Below are 19,985 nucleotides of genomic sequence, written 5' to 3'. Positions count from 1 at the left end.
TTTGAGAATTAACTTTTAGGGAGAGAAGGACCAAGCAGTGTTTTATGGTCCCCATTCTCTCTGCTAAAATGTTTCCAGTAATCTGGTGACACACAAGCGCTAGAGGGTGCCAGCAATGAGAAACGATTTGCTGCTGAGCAGATGACAGAAATCACTGCTCGCTCTCTCTTTATTTGGAATTTTTGGAGACAGAGTCTTGCTCTGTCACCCAGGCTGGAGTGCAGTTGTGTGATCTCGGCTTACAGCAACCTCTGCCTCCGAGGTTCAAGCCTGGCTAATTTTTCTATTTTTAGTAGAGATGGGGTTTCTCCATATTGGCCATGGCTGGTCTTTAACCCTGGCCTCAAGTGATCCACCCACCTTGGCCTCCCAGGATTACAGGTATGAGCCATCGTGCCTGGCCAGAGATCTACACTGTCTTATCCTTAAGTCTGAAAGTATATTCTTTTGTTTTAATCCTGCACTTGAAAAAAGGCCTTCTTTTAAAGGGGAGGTCTTTGGTATGCGTGGCTTGGATATCTTCTTAAAACATGAATTTTGGCCCGGCATGGTGGCTCATACCTTTCCAGCACTTTGGGAAGCTGAGGTGGGCAGATCACCTGAGGTCAGGAGTTCTAAGACCAGCCTGGCCAACGTGGTGAAACCCCAACTCTACTAAAAATACTAAAGTTAGCCAGGTATGGTGGCGCGCACCTGTAATCCCAGCTACTCGAGAGGCTGAGGCAGGAGAATTCACTTGAACCCTGGAGGTGGAGGTTTTGGTGAGCTGAATTTGTGCCACTGCACTCCAACCTAGGTGATAGAGTGAGTGAGACTCTGTTAAAAAAAAAATTATTTCTTTCTTGAGCACATATATAGTGCGTTTTTTAAAAAAAAAAATCAAGCAAAATATATCTTCCATTTTGTTTATTGGGAAGAATATGATCACTAAATGTTTCATAGACAAATATTATTTTATGTTTCTTTTATTGAAAAAATAGATCTAATATTTTGACATGATTATTAATATATTTTGGAAGTCTTTAGGTTCCTAGACTTAACAGAACTTCTTACTTGGTAGTAACAAGCTACATTTTAAAGATAATTTTATTAGCACAGTTTACAGCTTTTAAACTCTAAGCAGCATTGTTCAGTAGAACTTTCTGTGATTTTTCTGTCCAGTCTGCTAACCCCCGCATGTGGCTGTTGAGCAGTTGAAATGTGGCTAGTAAGACTGATGTGCTGAATCTTTGTTTGCTTATTTTTACTTTAAATAGCCACATGTGTCTGGCTACCTTATAGGACAGCAGAAGTCTAGAACCCCAATAACCCACTTTTACTTTTTTTTTTAAGTGTAAGTTTAGTTGTAAGACATTTATAAGGAAAAGCACAAGATATTTTGGGAAAAAAATTACTGAATTTATTTACTATTTTCTCTACAGTCTTAAGAATGCTTGTTTTTTAGAAACAGCCTATTAAACTTTATAAATACAATTAAAATTGTATCTCTGTGTCTGTAATTGCAATGTGAAAAATGACTAGGTAGATTTTCACCAAATTTAGAAGGTTTTGGATGATCTGACTAAAAATATAGGATATGTGTCATACTTAAAAGTGGTTTTGTTGGGAGTATGGTGGCCATCCTCTGTTGGAGAGGCTGGCTAATGATTTGGGAGCTCTGCCATACTTCATTCAGGACATGGAGGGAGAAACTACTGGTTTCATGTATGAGTCATAAATAGGAAGTTACTAAGGCAGACGATCTGCTGGTTGGCAGCTCACTGCAGCTTGCTCTAGCGTTAAGAACCATAATGATTCTCCCAATACATATTGAAAGAGGATAGTTGCTAGCCTTAAATAAAATAGATCTTAAGAAGCTACAGCCTTTATAGGCAGAAAAGCAAGTCAGATTTTATTGACAGTGGTGTTTTGTTTTTTGTTTTTGTTTGTTTGTTTGTTTGTTTGTTTTAAAGAGAGAGATGGGGGTCTCTAAAAAAAGCCTAGGCTAGACTCAAGTGATCTAAACCTCCTGGGCTCAAGTGATCCTCCCACCTCAGCCTTCCAAGTAGCTGTGACTGCAGTCATGTGCCACTGCGCCTGGCTTACAGTTTTTTGATGGTGGCAGTCTTCTAGGTAAATTTAACTATTATTAACCTGATTAATGAAAGCTCAGTAAGGAAAGGGAAGTTTTCGATTTAATATTTTAACGTCTTTTTTATGTTTTAGCTCGTGTGTTTTAAGATTGGGGCTTTTTATCATGAGAAGTTTAACTTCAGCAAACAAATTCATTTTGGGGTCAAGGGGAATGTTTTGTTCACTTTGAATACTAACTGAATGTACTAAATTCATGAAAGAAAATAGGAATGAATTTCATGATGTATTTTAACTGACAGTTTGGAGTTTAATTTAGAATTCTAAGTGTTTTAAAATGGAAGATGAGGGGAAACTGAAACTTGAGCCAACATTAACCAAATGATAAATAAGAGATGTATTTACTGGATAATTAAAATATCTTAAAGTTATTATTATTATTATTTTTAGACAGAGTTTTGCTCTTGTTGCCCAGGCTGGAGTGCAGTCGTGGGATCTCAGCTCATTGCCACCTCCACCTCCTGAGTTCAAGTGATTCTCCTGCCTCAGCCTCCCAAGTAGCTGGGATTACTGGCGTGCACCACCATTCCTGGATAATTTTGTATTTTTAGTAGAGACGGAGTTTCACCATGTTAGCCAGGCTAGTCTTGAACTCCTGACCTCAGGTGATCTGCCCGCCTCAGAGTCCCAAAGTCCTAGGATGACAGGTGTGAGCCACTGCACCCACCTTAAAATTATTTTTGAGTAAAGGTTACAGATTCTGAATTCCTAACAGTAACTCTAACAAAAGTCTTATTGTATGACCTTTATGAAAAAAATTACAAAATATTATTAAAGGGCATAAAATCACTTTTGAATGAATATATAGACTCATAAAATATAAATATTTAAAAATATAGAATGGGGCTGCTTAATATGGTACAGATGTCGTTTAAAAATCTGTAAATTCAGCATATGTGTGTAACTCAATCTAAAATAAATAATTGCTGGAACAATTGGTTATCCATATGAAATAAACTAAAACTAGAGCTCTGTTTCAGAATTTAATCAAAAATTCCAGGTGGGGAATATATATCTAAATTTGCATATTTGAAGATATGCATAGCCTGCTCCTTAAGACCCTTGAGCAATATTTTTTATATGTTATTTTGTGTAACTCGAGGCATATACAGATCTGTTCACACACAACTGAAATATGTCTCAAGAAACAATACTTTTACCGCATGAAGCACACTTAGGTATTTTATACTTTTATTTCATTTTTTAAAAAAGCTGTGTATTGATTTCATTGCTTTCTGAGTATAGCTTGACAAAAATTAGCTTCAAGAAACTCTTGTATGTGTGTGCAAGGAGAGAGATGTATGTGGAAATTTTAGCTAAACCCTGCAAGTGCTTCATCTCTAGTGGCAGAGGAAAACATGTATGTGGTTAATTAAAATACAAGAGGAACCCCGGGAGGTGCTATAGTTGAGATCTGTGGGGGACATAGACAATTCACAGGGAGTCAATAAGGTTTGAGATGATTGTTGAAAGAAAAGTAGAATCTGGCTAAAATAAGGAAGAATGGCTTTTTATAGGGTAGAAGACACAAGGTTGAGCTGAGATGGGAGACATTTAATTTTTTGACACTTGGGCAGGGAGGTATGTATGTCAGGGACAAAGTGCAAAGAAACAGCCTTCAACTCCGTGTTCTGTCTGGGTTATTAAAATGTGGAAACAGATTCTGTGACTTTCTGGTCAGCCTATTAGGAGCCTCTTTGGAGGCCTTTTCAGGTTTGCTCACATTAGGAAAAGGATCTGGAAGGCAGTGACAAAGAATAGTTGCAGTTGAGCTTTTTTCAGCTGAAGAGATGACAGATGTTTTTTGGATTTATTGCGCTTGAGCCCGGTCTGGACAAATGGAGGTTGTGAGATCTTGTGGTCCCAACATGCCGTTCCTCGACTGGGGCCCTGGGCTGAGGCCCTGGACTGTATGCGCTCAGTGGTCAGCTGGGCCACTTCAGCCTACCTCTTATTTTTCACAAAGAGTAATTGTCTCAGTAGGAAAGTTTTTTCTGTGTCATTTGTGCCTTTAAGAAAATTAAAACTTAAAAGAATGTATTTGAATAAATGTGAAAGCAAATAGATAATGCCTGATTCTTACCACATACTAGAGTTTAGCTGTTTTTTTTTCATCAGTAAAATTATAAATTTCTCTGCTAATTCCACTGTCGTTCCACAGACGACTCCATGAGGTCAGAGGCCATATCATTCTTCTTCATGATGAAACAAACACAGAACTTTATAGTAAATGGCTGGTGTGGTTATATTTGCCATAAGTGTAAATCTTTCTGAATTATGTTTTAAAACTAATGTTATTATGGATTGAATTTCTATATTTATACCAGATTGATCTTTCTCAAAAATGTAACTAATGATGGAAAACTTTTAAGGAATGCTTTGGCATTATAGTATTTAAAGAGTTAGCACTGCTCAGAGTAGATACTAAAGTAGGCAAAAATAGAAGTTTCAAACTTACTAATGATTTTATGGTTAAAAAACTATTTTCTGCTTAAAATGCTTAAATTGTTAGACTATTGTCTTCAGTTATTGTTTGGTTAAATTTTACTTCAGATTTTAAGTTTTAAGCCTTTGATTTTAGTGCTTTTAATATTTTCCTAAAAAGGAATGTTACTTGTTAATATTAAGTTACAAGTTATTGTGAGGAACAATTCTTTTGTTGGTACGATGTCTCTCTATTAAAGTCTGTGCAAGGGCATCAGAAGCAGTTTAACTGCCAATAAAGATTCTTCCTGGTGTTTAGAGTGCTACACAGAATTTTGCAAAGCAGTTTGGCATTATGTTTGGTTTTAAAATGTGTATAATCTTTGATCTGGCAGTTTTACTTCTGGTACTGTGCCCTAACAATTTAATTGGTAAGGTATAGACAAAGATGCATGATTAAAGATGTTTTTCACAGTATATACAATCTTCCCAAGACTGGAAACAAAGGAATGGTTCAGTAGTTTTGGTAGACGTGTATGATGAAGTGCCTGCTAAAGTGATATTTTACAGTGTTTTTAATGATAGGAGAAGATGTTTATGAAAAGAGGGATCTCAAATTATATCTGGGTAAAAATTGAGAGGAAATAAATGGAGTTATTTTGGTTTATCTGTGGATACTAGGGCTGTAAAGAATTAGTTTGTTTATAGCCCTGTGATTTACAGATAATGAACAAATATTATTTTGGTAATCCGAAGAAAAATAAATACTACTTTTCAAGCAGAAAAATCACCAGTTGTATGTTAATTTTGGAAAGTTGGCTCTGTTAAAAAGGAAGATGGGTTGAGTGGGGAGAGGGATGTGGCGCCACAGATAGATGGCAAAGGATATGGTTAGGACTGTTGTGGACAGGGGGTTATATAAGGGAGACACCACAGAAAAAAGCAGCATCTTGTTTCAGGGATGGAAATTGAGGCAGTAGTGACAGAATGCTCCGTGATGCTGACCTTGGCAAATAGGTATGGTTGGGGCCAAAGTAGCATTTGGCGTTGGTGTGATATTGGTTTGAAATCCCAGAAAAAATGTACAGGCTTTCGTAAACCAGATCATCAGGCAGTGTAGATTCTTGTCTGGATTCAAGAAGGGCATGAGGACTGTTGTAGCTGGAGAAAGAATAAGATTGGTGAGAAAAGTGGGTATCACTCGCTCAAAGCCACAGGGTTTATAACTGATGGAGCTGGAACTTAAACCAAGCTCTCAACTTTTAAGACTATGCCTTTAACTACTACTCTGTACTTTTCAAATTCTAGTGACAGGAGTGAAATATTATTTAGTTAGTAAAGACAAGCGTATAATGGCAACAGCAGATACAAGTCCCTCATAATGACTTGACTTAGGATTTTTCAACTTTATGAAGGGTGTTTTGGATATTCCTCATCGTGAGTTGAGGAATATCCGTAATATGTTTTAGAGATTTTTGTCGAAAACTGGTGTGTGGGTTTAGTAAACCTTTTTATTAGACCAGTTAGCTCACATGAACTTTATTTTCTGATTCTGCCAAATAAATACTGCTAATATTTTTTGAAGTAATGATTTATAATTTATTTTTTCATTTTCTACTCTTATTTACCTCCAGTACCAAAAAATTATTGTATAGCTCTTCCTGCCCCTGACCCCACTTTTTGAAAGGATTAGACTATTGTAAAGGGAAACCTTTAAAACATTTTAAACAATTCAAGATGGCTTCTGAAACAAATGAGACACATCCTGGGATGACATCAAATCAGGGCTGGGGGTCTGGATGTCTTGATGGAAAAAAAAAATGGTTAAAGTGAGTCTTAGTGAAAACAATATAGTGACATTCAACTGGAGTGGTAAATGGTATGCTAGTTTTAGATTCTTTTGGTGGTTTGTTTCATATACTAATAAATGATTGAAAGACTTTGTTTTAGCTAAGTATGACAAGCTAGACTTTTTTTCTTAATGTTAGTTCTTTTACAATTTAAATTTGAGTTTTTGAACACTTGTATTAACTCTTTTTTTCTTTTTTGAGATGGAGTCTCGCTCTGTCGCCAGGCTGGAGTGCAGTGGTGCGATCTCAGCTCACTGCAACCTCTGCCTCCCAGGTTCAAGCGATTCTCCTGCCTCAGCTTCCTGAGTAACTGGGATACAGGTGTGCGCCACCACGCCCAGCTAATTTTTGTATTTTTAGTAGAGATGGGATTTTACCATGTTGGCCAGGCTGGTATCGATCTCTTGACCCTGTGATCTGCCCGCCTCCGCCTCCCGGTTACAGGTGTGAGCCACCACACCCGGCACAAGCTAGACTGTTAAAATCGTAAGTGGATCTAAGAATTAGGAAAAACAAAACTACTTATTCTGTATATAAAGTATTTATTTTATAGCCACATTTAAACTGCATTATTTTTCCCTATGTTTAGTTTTTTGCCTGCTTATTTTAAAAACATTAATCACTTGATTAAACCGTATTTCATTTTTTATGATTAAGTCAGATACTATTTGAGTTCTTAAACTTCTCCCTACTAAGTAGTGATGAATAGGCTATTTGGCTTACATGGCTCTAAGTCAGGTGTACACTGGTTAGGAATTTTTGCCTGTTCTTGCCACCAGTTTGTGGCTGAGTCATTAGCAAGATTCTTTACTCATGAACTCCTAATACATAGAAACATTATCTCCACTAAATAAACAGAATTTTGTGTGCTTTCACACGGTACCTACATATTTTGGGAAAATAAATGAGTAGGAAATATTACTCTTAAATACTGCAAATTTGAGTAACATTTTAAAAGTTTATGATCACTGTCAGATTATGAAATCAGAGTATTAGATTGTAGGCTTAAATAGTTTACCAAGCATTAGGCATATACTTTTTCACTTGTGATTTTTCATTCAACATCTGTTATTTAATGTCTAAGTAAGGAGCTCTACTAAGTACGTAGGGACTAAGGCTCAGTCTGTTCTTAGGCACATAGCTAACGTCATACTTAGTAAACAGGGAGTGGCTTCTAGCACTTAAAAGCCTGAAAGGATCTTGCATATAGGAGCAGAACCTAGTGAGTAAAACATAAGTCTTCTTGAAGATCATTAGTTTTAAAGGGAAGGGTGAAAAAAGTAATTCTGTTATAATGATACATAGGCCTGGCCTGAGTGGGGCTATTTAGTTTCTCCAGTGAAGAAGTCTCCGTATTCCTGTCCAGGGCGTAGACATGAGCCGGGGATATGTTCTGGGAGCAGAGTGGAGTAAGGAGACTAAGATCCTGGTCTGATTCTAACTGTTCATCATAAAGACTGTTTCTTAGCCCAGTACTATATATCCTTGTGCCTAGTGTCTCCAAAATGTTCCGTCTTCTGCCTTGGAAAAGATTGTGATCTGGTTACACTGGAGGTGTGGGAGTGTGGGAAGTATGCGCCGACCACTCCATCCAACGAAGCTATGTGTCTCCAGCATCATCCCCCAGAATGTCTCCCCCGCCCCTGGTTGTAGTGCTGAAGCTCTTGTGGTCCCAGGGTGGACTGTTTTCTGGTCAGTATCTATTTCTGCGGCCACTTTTGCTTATAGCTGCTTATGTTCTTTCTAGTTGTCATCTCTTCTCTATTCTCATTATTTTTTTAAAAAAAATTGTTGAATTTCTTGTTCCTTGATTTTTTTTCTTTTATTTGTTCTTTGGGGTTTTCTTCTTTTTCTTTTCAACTACGAAGGAGAAAAGAAAAATGAATAGGATTTATCAGTCATATTTAAGGTGTCACTCAGTCCCCAGTCATGCTTAAATTATAACTCCCTTAGGCATGCTTTTCTGAGTTGGAACTCTAAATACATTGTGGTATGATTATTTATATTTTAATAGAATTCACTAAAAATTAGTTTTACTTCACTTGTAGTAGGTGATTGAAAACTGATTCATGCAGTAACTTCTTAGGAAACATCATTTATTATAAGTGGAGGTCCTTTTCATTAAACCTTTTGGACCATTACAAATTCTTATTTCTATCTGCCTTTCTTTACCTACGTCTATTTGTATCTACTTTCCTTACTTGTGTTTGGACCATAAACTCACGTTAGTGCATTGCCAGTTGACACCCGTTAGAGATGGTAATGATTCCTTGGAGCATTGATTCTTAACCATGGGTGTGTATCAGTCACCTGGTGACATGCTCCCAGGCTACATTCCTGACCTACTGAGTCAGAAGAATCTCTTGATTCTCACTTTTGCATTTTGAAAAACTTCCACTTGTTTGTGCTGTATAGTTCTATTTGAGAACTATTGTGTTATAGCTTCCGAAAGAAATAGATTTAACTTTGTGTAGCATTTTATTTCCTAGCAAATTAACTTCAAATTCTTCACCCCAGGGTGTCAAAATCTGGTCTCAACCTTTCTCTAGCACTTCTGCCAATATTCTCCTTTGGGTACCTTGTGTGCCGGCAGAAGTGGATGAGCCCTTTCTTGCTGCCATACCTTCTCCTGCTCAGGCCATCATGTCCTCCTGCCTAGAACGCCCTTTCCTAGCTAGATCTATTGACACCTTTTTCTTCGTCATAGGCCTCTTCAATTTTCTCTCCTTTCTTTGAGAATTTTTAGGCACTCAGCCAGCTGGAGAGAACATGTATACCTTTCCACATGTTTTGTTTTTGCTATTGTATCCCCTGGGAATTATACAGGAGACTGGAAATTGGATACATTGAATATGCCTTGAGTTAATTAAAGAAGTAATGTTATCAAGCTACGTTCTGCCTTGTTTTATGCTCTAATTTTTATTTCTATCTGATCTATCTGTTAGATTCCTGGTACCATGAGAAAAGACTCATTTTTTTCTCATTTTAGCAGTAAAATAGTTTGAGCTTTGTAAGTATTTCTTGAACAAGTAAATAAGGAATATTCTCTATACTTGGGATAATCCTGCAGAATTTGGAACTGTGGGTTAGAATCACAAGATTCATGACACAAGGGAAGGAGAAAATCAGTTCTGAGAGTATCAGTCTGCATTGGTGGGATGCTTCCACTGGTGGGGCTTTAGTCCTGCTCTGTCAGGTATATGGATTTGATACATTTCAGGACAGTCTTCATTTGTCAGATACAGTTGTGCTGTATGGCACAGTGTCTTCTGTGTCTTCTGTGAATGCAAGAGAGAATAATTTATAGTATTTGGTTTCATGGGTGCTAGTCTCAGCACCACTGTATGTTTTGAATTTCTATTCCGCTTAATTAGGTAAGTCACTTTTTATGTTCAACTTTAAATCTTTTTTTTTCTCACCAAATACTGCCTTTGTCATATTGCCTTGTAGAAGTATGTGATAATTAACTGTTTGTAACCTTCTCAAGAAATCTCTTAACTAATCATGATTATAAAATACATAGATTTAGAAGCAGAGGGTTGTTAGGTGGTGGGATCGATGTTGACCTTTGCAGTTAGGATAGTCAGAGATGAACAGAGAGGAATGGGAGGAACTCCAGATATGCCAAAAGGCCTGTAGCAGTATCGTGCGTAATGTATCAAGGTGTATTTATTGGTCACAGCTGGAACCCTGAATAAACAGTTTTATTGTCACCACATACCAGAAGAGTGGGGAGGTGAGGATTAACCTTTATTGAATGCCTACCATGTACACAGTTACCATGGCAGGGGATTTATGTGTCATCTCTTTTAATATTTACAACACTCTAATGTGCATCAGAAGCCTAGAGAAATGGTCACTGGCTTGAGTTCTCATGGATTGGTAAGTGATGGAACAGGTATTCAGCCTAACCTAGAGCCTTGTTACCAGAAAGCTGTACATTTGGACTGTGGCTTGTATCTTGACTCTCCAGCCCTAGGATAATTAGTTGCAACTTTACCATGACTGTAACAGTTATTTTGTTGTTGTGGTGGTGTCTCTCTCTCTCTCTCTTTTTTTTTTTTTTTGGAGACAGGGTCTCATTCTGTTGCCCAGGCTGGAGTACAGTGGTGCGATCTCGGCTCACTGCCAACCTCTGCCTCCCGAGTTAAAGTGATTCTCCTGCTTCAGCCTCCTGAGTAGTTGGGACCACAGGCGCGTGCCACCATGCCCTGCTAATACTTGTATTTTTTTGATAGAGATGAGTTTTCACCATATTGGCCAGACTGGTCTTGAACTCCTGAAAGGAGTTTTTGGGGGGTGATAAGAATCTTGAAAAAATTACCTCCTTTCCTTCATCTCACCAGTCACTGAGTTCCTTTTCCTGGAGACAACCATTATTGGCTTGTTGCTCCATCCAGTGCTTAGGATGTCTGTGTAAAACAAATGATACATAGCATACACAGTGCTCTGCATCTTTTTATTCATCAGTGTGTATATCTTTCATATTAATACATGTAGAAGTGTTTCATTATTTTTGCATAACAACTTTATTAAAAGATTAATTGCACACCATGTAATTACCCATTTAAAGTATACCATTCAGTGGTTTTTCAGTATACTCAGAGTTGTGCAACCATCAACCACATAATTTAACTTTTTTTTTTTTTTTTTGTAGAGATGGGGTCATGCTCTATTGCCCAGGCTGGAGTGCAGTGGCTATTTACAGGTGTGATCGTGGCATATTATAGCCTTGAACTCCTGAGCTCAAGTGATTATCCCATCTCAGCCTGCACAGTAGCTGGGACAATCAGCTTGTGCAGCTGCACCCAGCCCTCTTAATTTTATAACTATTTTATCACCCCCCCAAAAAACTTCATACACTTGAGTAGTCACCCCTATTTTCTGTACCCCTCCAGCCTTACGCTGTTACTGATCTACCTTCTGTTTCTATAGATTTGTCTATTGTAATCATTTTATACAAATTGAATCATACATGTGGTCTTTGGTGGCTGGCTTTGATTTATAATACTTTAATGCTGTCAGGGGTCATCCATGTGGTAGCATCTATGAGTACTTCATTTCTTTTTATTGTTGAGTAATAGTCTGTTGTATTGGATATACCACATTTTAATTTATCCATTCATCAGTTAGTGGATGTTTGGGTGGTTTCTACTTTAGGCTATAAGAAAGTGTGGCTGTGAGTGTTCATGTACACGTTTTTGTGTGGACATGTTTTCATTTCTGCAGAGTATATGCCAGGAGTGGAATTGCTGCATCATAACTCTTTTTTACTTTCTGAGATACTGCTAGACTGTTGTCCAAACTGGCTGCACCATTTTCCATTTTCATCATCAATACTTGTGGGTTCTCTTGTTTTGTACGTCACTGACGTCTCGTTATCTGTCTTTTTGATTATTGCCATCCTAGTAGGTGTGAAGTGGTATCTCATTGTGGTTTTGATTTTTTCATGTTTCTGATGGCTAGTATTGTTGTGTCTCTTTCCTAGGAGTTTTATAATTTTAGCTCTTATATTTAGGACTTTGATCCATTATGAGTTAGTTTCTGTGTATGGTGGGAGGTAAGAATTTAGCTTTATTCTTTCACATGTGAATATTCGGTTGTTCCGTCCCCATTTGTTGAACAGACTATTCTTTCCCAATTGAATTGTCTTGGCAATCAGTTGGAAATCAGTTGACTATAAATGCAAGGCTTTATCTCTGGACCCTCAATTCTGTTCCATTGGTCTTCATCCTTATGCCAGTACGACATTGTCTTGATTACTATAGCTTTGTAGTAAGTTTTGAAATTGGAAAGTGCGAATCCCCCAGTTTTGTGTTTTTCTTTTTCATGATTGTTTGACTATTCTGGGACCTTGCATTTCCATATGAGTTTTAGGAATGGCTTGTCAAATTCAGCAAAGAAGCTGGCTGGGATTTTGATAGGGATTTTGTTGAATCTGTAGGGGGCATTTTCCCATATTGGCAAACAGTATTAAGTCTCCAATCCATGAATATGGGATGTCTTCTGTTTATTTAGGTCTTTAATTTCAACAAGATATTGCAGTTTTCATAGTACGTTTTAAACTTCTTTTGTTTAATTTATTTCTATGTACTTTATTATTGTGACTAGAATTGTTTCTTCTGCCTCATCCTTTTTGAGAGTTTTGTATGGTTGTGCCATAATTTTATCATAATGTTATTAACAAGTTTCCTATTGATAGACATTTAGATCCCAATATATTGCTGTTTGCAGACATTGCCACAGAGTGTGTGTATCACTAAGGTGAATTCTACTAAAGAGAACTACTGAGCTGCAGGGTATCAGATATTGGAATCATCTGTGAAATTTAAAATGGCTATATACTGACTGTTTATCATTTTACTGCTTATTTTAAAACTTACAGTAAGGTATTTAAAATAAGCTGTATAAAAAATGTTCTAAACTCTTTTTCAGCTAACCTTACTACTTATTAAAAATAGTGATATGCTGGAAGAGGCTCATGCTCCTTAAAAAAATGCCTAGAGCAGTGCTACAGCATCTAGAGCCTGCAGCATTACTGTCCAATATAACTTTCTGTGGTGATAGAAATGTTCTATATCTGCACTGCCCATACTGTGCCATAGCCACCAGCCATATGTGACTACTGAGTGCTTGAAGGAGGATGACTGAATTTTTAATTTTATTCCATTTTAATTAATTTGTCTTGTTGCTACCATATTGTGTAACACAGGTTTAGGATTTCCCTTATTTCCTGTGTTCTAAATTACTTTAGAAGGTAGAAAGTTGACTGCATTTGAATTTTGTTGATCCATTATATATTAGTAGTTGTGTATGCCTTTAGATCTAAAGCTTGTGGAAGTTTGCAGAAGGCTTGTGTAAAGTGGTACATCTTACATTATTTCCTGAATAGCATGAGGCAATCGTTAGTTGTTATAGCAACTTTCACCAATATAAGTCTTAGTAAACAGTTCCTTTTTTGTGACATTTTATTCACTCTGCACCTAGCTGGCTTCAGATTGTCTACAAACATAGCTTTTAGATAGAAGAGCGTATGGGTCTTTAGTTTGCTTGTTCTTCTTATATGTATATCTTATCCTAATGTAAAAGGTAGGCTTACTTTTGTATATGTATGTGCTCTAAAATCTGTATTTGACACTTAAAACTTATATTGGCAATTATAGTAGGGGTCCTTGACTATAGATTATAATGTTGGTGGCTTGTTTAACTTTGTTCTTCGGCTTTGAACTGGGCTCTTCCCTTGGCTCTTTTATTCCCCAGTTTCTCCCCAGCACTCTTACATGCTTGGAAAGGCTTTGGCTTCCAGCTGCATGGTCATGCTTCAGTATGCTTCAGTTTCAATCACCTTTGCTTCAATTTGCAGCTCAAACCTTTACTTTTCAGCTATAGATTTTATATATCAAGCAATCCCTACCGTATTCTATGCTGCTTGGTATCCCACTTGCCTGTGAAACTCAGAGGAGCTAGAGCCGGTTACTTTTCTCTAAAACCCCTTCCCTTCTTCATCCACCTGCTCTATTCTCTGTCGAAATGAATGGTACAGTATTTCAGACCAGAAATGAAGAGTCAAACATCCACTTCTAGCAAATGAATTAGAGTTGTCCTTAGGTATTTGTGGGAGATTGGTTCCAGGATCCCATTCGGATACCAAAATCCATGGATGCTCAAGTCCTTGATATAAAATGGTTTAGTATTTGCATGTCACCTGTGCACATGCTCCTATATACTTTCAGTTATGTCTAGATTCCATCACCTAGTATGGTGTATATACTATGTAAATAGTTGTAATACCTAATTGTTTATGGAATAATGACCAAAAAAAGAGTCTGTACATGTTCAGTACACATGTAGCCATCACCCCATGTTTAGGATCCATAGTTGTTTGAATCCATGGATGCGGAATGCATGGATACAGAGCAACAACTGTACTGAGTTCTGAGTTCCAGTTTTTAATCATCTCTGTCCTGGACTAACAATTGCAGCGTTTTCCCATGAATTTTCTTTCTTCTTGCTTTTATCCTTTCTACCTGTTCTACACTCTAATTTCATATGTTTTTTGCAGAAAGCTAATCCTTGTTTCTATGGTTGCATTTCAGTGGCTACTACTTGCCTCAGGGATAGAGCCCAAGCTTCTTAGCATTGTGGTTTATTCTTTTGAATTGTGGATTATTCCTATGCCTAACCTCTTTCCTCTCTCCAGTCATACCAGATTAGTTTGGGCCTCTGTGCTTTTGATGATGTGGTTCCCTGAGACATGGACCTCCTGCAGTCAGCCTCATTCTGGCCAGTCTGTAAGATCACCTCTAGATGTCTCTGACTTGGCCCACTACCATCTCTGTTTCCATAACGATACCAGGAGCAGTTGCTTACATTTGTGTGTTTACATGCACTTTCCCCTCCTCACTAGACTGTACACCCCTCAGTGCTGGGCATCTGTGTGCTTCTGGGTAGTTGTAGAATCAGTGGATGTCATTTTACATGCATTTGGACTCACTGGTTTAACTTTTCTGTCAGTCTTTCTCCATTTCAGTAGTAATATTTTCTGTCAGATCCCACAAGTGTTTTATAAAATATTAATAGTACTAGTGGCATAAGACATATGTAGTGCTGAAATGCAATTTTAGAACCAGAGGTTTGCTTTTTGCAAAGAATATATGGAATTAATGTGTAAAATGGGAAGGATAAAAGCAAGAAACAAGGAAATTAATGAGGAAAAGTTAGTCCAGGAAATAGATGATAAAAACCTGAACTCAGAACTCAGTGAGGTGATCAGGCAGCAATACCTTTAGAACACCAACTCCTTTCTTTTCTAAAATGTAGATTAGTTGGGAAGCAGGTCTGATTTACTTACATCCTTACTAACTTTGAGTTGGCTGTGTACTACGTTCTAGAAAACAGTATGGTCTTAGGAAATAAGTAAGTAGTATTTGGCTTGGAATTACAATTGTTTGCTATTAGGACTTGGGGAGTGATATAGTTTGGATCTATGTCCCTGCCCAAATCTAATGTTGAATTGTAATCCCGAATGTTGGAGGTGGTACCTGGTGGGAGGTGATTGGATCATGGGGGTAGATTTCCACTTTGATGCTGTTCTCATGGTAGTCAGTGAGTTCTCCTGAGATCTGGTTGTTCTAAAAGTGTGTAGCACCTCCCCCCTCACTCTCACTCCTGTTACTGCTCCCACACTGTGTTGCGCCTGCACCCCCTTTGCCTTCCACCATGATTGTAAGTTTCCTGAGGCCTTCCCGGAAGCTTAGCAGATGCCAGCATCATTCTTCCTGTATAGCCTGCAGGACTGTGAGCCAATTAAATCTCTTTTCTTTATAAATTACCCAGTCTCAGGTATTTCCTTATAGCAATGCACGAATGGACTCATTCAGGGAATAAGATACTCCTATTCCCAAAAGAGAACTGTTTCCCATTCTGGATTACCCAGCTTAAGTCCCCTGGCCATTTCAATTATTTAAAAAAAAAAAAATCAGATCTTTTTGAGGCCAAAGTCTGATAATTCTCCATGATCTACTCTAGTACAGTTTGAGGAACTTGGCAGTGTATTCACTTTCACTTGCTGTGTAACAAATTACTGCACCCTTAGCAGCTTAAAACAACACCTGTTTATTAACTCACAGTTTTGTAGGACAGAAATCAGGGCAGCACAGTGTGGCTGGATTCTTACTAGACTGAAACCAAGGTGTTGGCCAGATCTGCAGCTCTCATCTGAGCTTCAGAGTTCTTTTCCAGCTCACTGGTTGTTGGCAGAACTCATTTCCTTGAGTTCGTAGAACTGAGGTCTTTGTTATCTTACTATTCTTCTAGCTGTTGGCAGGGAGCACCGTCACTCCTAGAGGCCACTGGCAGTTCTTTGCTCTCTGTGGCCCTAGTTCACAAATGATGTCTGCTTTTTTTCCAGGCAGCTGGAGCCCGCCGCTCCGCTTCCACTTCTTTGACCAGCCAAAGAAAACCCTCTGCTTTTAGGGACTGGTGTGATTAGGTCAGGCCACCCAGTGTGATCTCCCTTTGGCATGTAGTGTAGATAATTGGATAACAGGTGTAATATCTCACACTCACAGATCTACCCATACTCAAGAGAAGCAGGAGATTTAACATGGATGAGGGTCATTGAGGGTCATTGCACATTTAGGTTTGATTTACACAAAGTTTTTGAACTTAACCTTTCATTAAAGAGGAATACATGAAATTATCTGAAGTTCGAAACATTATCTGGTCCCAAGTATTTTGAATGAGGGATACTCAACCTATATTGACCGATTCTACTATTAATTAGAAATTGGGTATTTCTCAAGCTGACAGTAATTACCAAGAGAGGAAGAAGGAGGGAGGGAGGAAGGGAGAGAGAAAAGTTATAGATATAGGGTGGACATAGGGAGGAAAGAAAATGAAATTTGACTTTATGTGAATGTCCCTCAAATACTAACTGAAGAAATTCATCTGGAGCTCCTTTTCTTTATGTTTGATTAAAAATTAACTGAACTGTATTTCTTAAATTGTGTCAGTTGCCATCTAAGCTGATAGCAAAGGAGAGGACATTTTTCCTACTAAATGTAGAGTTTATTTTTTCTTTTCTCTGCTGAAAAGAAATACGCAGTAGCAGCTGAGAGGAAATCGGAACTCTCATCTGGTTGCCATGGCAATTTAGAGCAGATGAGACTTGTAGTTTCCTCGGTTGTTGAGTTTTTCCTCCCTTTTCTGACAGAGCAAGTGTACATGCAGAATATAGTATGAAGTACATAGCATGATGATAATTTTAGTATTATAGTATGATATTGAAAGAAAAATATTTTTAAGTTTTTTTAAACCACATTTTAAATTTAGAGTAATGATTAGAATTTTCTTTGTAGTGTAAAAATAAATATAGTTCTTTGTGAAAAATATAAGTAGCTAGTGGAATTTTGCTTTCTAAATTAATTTCATTCCCATCACTGAAGTGCTGTGTTTTTCTTTTTTCTCTCCTCCCCTCTTTTTCTCTTTTGCTTTGCTTTGCTCTTTTGTTTTCCTTTCTCTTTCCTTTTTCTTTTTTCTTTCTCCTTTCCTTTTCCTTTGCTTTCCCCTTTCTCCATTGTCCTTTCCCCTTCCCCTTTTCTTTCCCCTTTCCTTTTTCCTTTCCCCTTCCCTTCCCTTTCCCCTTTCCTTTTTCCTTTTCTATTTTCTTCTTTCTTTTTTTCCTGAGACAGGGTCTCACTCTGTCATGCAGGCTGGAGTGCAGTGCTATGATCTTAGCTCATTGCAGACTCGCATGCTCAAGCAGTCCTCTCACATCAGCCTCCTTAGTAGCTGGGACTGTAGATGTGTGCCACCACGCCCAGCTAATTTTTGTAGTTTTTGTGGGTATTGCCAGGTTGCCCAGGCTGGTCTCAGACTCCTGGGCTCAACTGATATACCCACTGTGGCCTCCCCAAAGTGCTGGGATCACCTGTGGGGGCCACTGCACCCGGCCTGAAGTGGTATATTTCTTTATATTTCTTATAGTACATGAAAACATGTTCTTAAATTAGCACCTTGTTTAAACTTTGGACCCTTAGATAAAATTTCAGTCTCCTTTTTAAAGAATTACAGATTAATTTTCACTCTGAATGTAGCTGAGCTTATTGTAAAAGAGACTATGCATATTGATTGCTTAAATCTCTACATAGATATTTGTTTCTTGAAGTCATACATTTTATAACGGTGTAGTGTTGGATATTTAAAATATCTATAGCTGTATTGGGGTTTTCTTTTATTTTTTTAAAAATTTATTGTTGTTTTTGTAGAGATGAGGTCTTGCTGTGTTGCCCAGGCTGGCCTCAAACTCCTGGGCTCAAGCGATCCTCCTGCCTCAGTGTCCCAAATGGCTGGGACTACAGGTGTGCACCACCACACCTGGCTTCTTTTATTTTTTAACAATAGCTTTTTGAAGTATAATTCACATAGCATACAGTTTGCTCATGTAACATATATATTTTAGTGTTTTTTATTATGTTCACAGAATTGTACAACCATCACCACATTAGGACATTTTCATCCCTCCTAACAGATATCCCATATCTACTAGCAGTCAGTCCCCATTTTCCTCCTTTTTTCTCCATTTCCCCAACCCCCGATATGAGCATCCACTGATTTACCCCATCTCTATAAATTTATCTGTTCTAGACATTTGATGGAAAATGGAAGATCATACAACCTGCGGTCTTTTCTGACTGGCATCTGTCACCCAGCATAAGGTTTTGGAGGATCCATCCATGTTGTAGCATATATCAGTACTTCATTTCTCTTTGTTAGTGAATAACATTCCCTTGTAATGATATACCCCATTTTATTTATCAGTTAGGGGACGTTTGGGTTGTTTCTGCTTTTCGTTAAAAATAGTAGTACTTCTCTGAACACTGTGGATGAGATTTTGCTGGATATATGCTTTCATTTCTCTTGGGTATATACTTGGGAGTGGAATTGTTGGGTTATTTGGTAATTTTATGTTTAAACTTTTGAGGAACTGCCAGACCGTTTTCCAAGATGGCTATGCTATATTACCCTTCCCACCAACAATGTTTGAAGATCCTTATTTCTTCATCCTTCCTTAAACTTATTATCTGACTTCTTTTAATAGCCATTCTAGTGGGTATGAAGTGGTGTCAGACTGTAGTTTTGATTTCCATTTCTCTGATTACTAATGATGTTGAGCATCTTTTCATATATTTATTGGTCATGTGTATATCCTCTTTGTAGAAATGTCTTTCCAATCCTTTTTATCCATTGTTAAATTAGTGTGTCTTTTTATTGTTGAGTTGGAAGAGTTCTTTATATATTCTAGATACAAGTCACTTATCACTTATCACTTATGATTTACAAGTACTTCCCCCCATTCTGTGGCCTTTAAATTTTCTTGATGGTGCCCTTTGAAGTACAAAAGTTAAAAATTTTGAAGTCCAATTTAGTTTTTCTTGTATTGCTTATGCTTTTAATGTCACATTTAAGAAACATTGCCTAACCTAAGGTCGTGAAGATTTACTCCTATGTTTTTTTCCTGAGAGTTTTATAGTTTTAGCTCTTTCATGTAAAGCCTGTGTGTGAGAGAGAGGTCCAACTTTATTTATTTTGCATATGAGTATGTATTTGTTGTAGTACCACTGTTGAAAAGACTATTCTTTTACCATTTAATTATTTTGGTATTGTTGTTGAAAATATTTATGGGTCATTTCCACTGCCATTGCTGCTTATATACTTCTGATAATTTTTATATGAAATAGCTTCCTTACGGCTTTCATTAGGATTGATGAAAGTTGTTTTTTTTAATCTGTTGATAGACTTAATGAGTATGTATTTGGTGAGATAACCTGTCATGTCTTGGTCTTCTACAGTGTTGTAATTTAACCAGGCTTTGCAGTACTCTAGAAGCCATCAGAAACCACTTTAAAGAAGCCAGCCTTGGCCAGGCCCAGTGGCACACACCTGTAGTCCTAGCTACCCACCAGGCTGAGGCAGGAGGATTCTTTGAGCCCAGGAGTTCAAGATTGCAGTGAGCTGTGGATGCACCACTGCACTCCACCCTGGGCAACAGAGCGAGACCCTGTCTCAAAATGAAAATAA

General features: G+C 37.7%; 1 protein-coding gene across 34 annotated transcripts in view; it reads left to right on the top strand.

The window, feature by feature from the left end:
• SRPK2 (SRSF protein kinase 2) overlaps positions 1-19,985 on the top strand; it is a 284,618-nt gene that overhangs the window by 172,231 nt on the left and 92,402 nt on the right. The window lies entirely within an intron of this gene.

The sequence above is a fragment of the Homo sapiens genome, chromosome 7 (assembly GCF_000001405.40).
Source record: "Homo sapiens chromosome 7, GRCh38.p14 Primary Assembly".
Lineage (NCBI taxonomy): Eukaryota > Metazoa > Chordata > Mammalia > Primates > Hominidae > Homo > Homo sapiens.
Note: the sequence above shows the minus strand (reverse complement) of the source record. Positions and strands in the feature narration are given on the sequence as shown.